Source organism: Homo sapiens, chromosome 3 (assembly GCF_000001405.40).
Source record: "Homo sapiens chromosome 3, GRCh38.p14 Primary Assembly".
NCBI classification, from domain to species: domain Eukaryota; kingdom Metazoa; phylum Chordata; class Mammalia; order Primates; family Hominidae; genus Homo; species Homo sapiens.
Window position 1 is genome coordinate 112850726 of NC_000003.12, and position 2669 is coordinate 112853394.

Genomic DNA, 2669 nt, shown 5'->3' on the forward strand with positions numbered 1-2669 from the left:
CAAGAATAAAAATAGAGAAAATGAAAAGGAACAAACAAACCTCCAAGAAACATGGGATTATGTAGAGAGGCCAAATCTACAACTCATTGACATCCCTGAAAGAGATGGGGAGAATAGAAGCAACTTGGAAAACATTTTTCAGGATATCATCTATTAAAATTTACCAAATCTAGCTAGAGAGACCAACATTCAAATTCAGGAATACAGAGAACCCCCACAAAACACTTCACATAAAGATCATCCTCAAGACACAAAATCATCAGAATCTCCAAGGTCAAAATGAAAGAGAAAAATGTTAAAGGCAGCTAGAGAGAAAGGACTGGTCACCTACAAAGGGAAGCCCATGAGAATAACAGCAGGCCTCTCAGCAGAAAACCTACAAGCCAGAAAATATTGGGGGTCTATATTCAACATTCTTAGAAATTCCAACCAATGATTTCATATCCAGCCAAACTAAACTTCATAAGCAAAGGAGAAATAAGATCCTTTTTAGACAAGTAAATACAGAGAGAATCTGGTACCACAAGACCTGGCTTACAAGAGCCCCTAAAAGAAACACTACGTATGGAAAGAAAAGACTGGTTATCAGCCACTACAAAAACACACTTAAGTACACAGACCAGTGACACTATAAAGCAACCACACAAACAAACCAGCATAATAACAACCTAATAACACAATGACAGCATTAAAGCCACATATAGCAATACTAACCTTGAATGTAAATGGGTTAAATGTCTTAATTAAAAGGTATGGAGTGGAAACCTGGATAAAGAAGTAAGACCCAATGGTGTGCTGTCTTCAAGAGATCCATCTCACATGCAATGACATCCATAGGCCCAAAATAAAGGAGTGGAGGAAAATCTACCAAGCAAACAGAAAACAGAAAAGAAGCAGGGGTTGTGATCTTAATTTCAGACAAAACAGACTTTAAACCACCAAAGATTTAAAAAGGCAAAGAAGGGCATTACATAATGGTAAAGGGTTCAATTCAACAAGAAGACTTAACTAACCTAACTATATTAAATATACATGCACTTAACACAGGAGAACCCAGATTCATAAAGCAAGTTCTTAAAGACCTTCAAAGAGACTTAGACTCCCAAATAATAGTAGTGGGAGACTTCAATACCCCCTGACAGTAATCGACAGATCCTCAAGGCAGAAAATTAACAAAGATATTCAGGACCTGAACTCAATATTGAACCAAATGATCCTGACAGACATCTACAGAATGCTTCCCCAAAAAACAACAGAATATATATTCTGCCCATCACCAGTTGGCACATACTCTAAAATCAACCACACAATTGGATATAAGACATTCCTCAGCAAATGCAAAAGAACCAAAATCATACCAACCACTCTCAGACCACAGCACAACAAAAATATAATTCAAGACAAAGAAAATCAATCACCACCATACAATTACATGGAAATTAAACAACTTGCACCTGAATGACATTAGGGTAAATAATGAAATTACAGTGGAAATCAGGATGTTCTTTGAAACTAATGAGAACAAAACTACAACATACTAGAATCTCTGGGACACAGCTAAGGCAGAGTTAAGAGGGAAATTTATAGCACTAAATGCCCACATCACAAAGTTAGAAAGATCTCAATTTTAAAAATGAGCATTACAACTAAAAGAACTAGAGAAGCAGGAGCAAACCAACCCCAAAGCTAGCATAAGACAAGAAATAACCAAAACCAGAGCTGAACTGAAAATAGCCTTGGAGACACAAAAAATTGCAATCAAAAAGGACAAAAGGAATATTACCACTGACCCCATAGAAATACAAATAACCATCAGAGATGACTATGCACACCTCTACGCACACAAACTAGAAAATCTAGAAGAAATGGATAAATTCCTGGACACATACACCCACCCAAGACTGAACCAGGAAGAAAAGGAATTCCCAAACGGACCAATGACAAGCTTTGAAATTAAATCAGTAATAAGTAGCCTACAAAACAGGAAAAGCCCTGGACTGGATGAATTCAAAGCCAAATTCTACCCCATGTAACAAAACAGAGCTGGTACCATTCCTACTGAAATTATTCTAAAACATTGAGGAGGAGGGACTCCTCTCTAGCTTATTCTATGAGGCCAGCATCATCCTGATGCCAAAATCTGGCAGACAGAATGGAAAAACAGAAAAAGAAAACTTCAGGCCAATATCCTTGATGAACATAAATGCAAAAATCTCCAACAAAATACTAGCATACCAAATACAGCAGCACAATAAAAAGCTAATCCACCATGATCAAGTAGGCTTTATCCCTGGGATGCAAGGTGTGTTCAACATACAGTAAACAATAAACACGATTCATTACATAAGCAGAACTAATTACAAAAGCCACATGATCATCTCAATAGATACAGAAAAGGCTTTTGATAAAATTTAACATTGCTTTATGTTAAAAACTCTGAAGAAATTAGGTATTGAAGGAACATACTCAAAATAATAAGAGTCATCTATGACTAACCCGCAGCCAACATCATACCAACTGGGCAAAAGCTGGTAGCATTTCCCTTGAAAACCGGCACAAAATAAGGATGCCCTCTCTTACCACTCCTATTCAACATAACACTGGAAGTCCTGGCCAAAGCAATCAGGCAAGAGAAAGAAATAGGCTGGGCGCAGTGGCTCACACCTGTA

The 2669-nt window shown here is 37.4% G+C and overlaps 1 annotated feature.

The window, feature by feature from the left end:
• Positions 1-170: an enhancer, noted in NCBI's record as "experimental_64395 CRE fragment used in MPRA reporter constructs". NCBI's record gives its function as "activates a minimal promoter by MPRAs in K562 erythroleukemia cells, with activity observed for the introgressed 3:112569658 variant allele {active_cell/tissue: K562}" and the evidence as "EXISTENCE:reporter gene assay evidence [ECO:0000049][PMID:34662402]".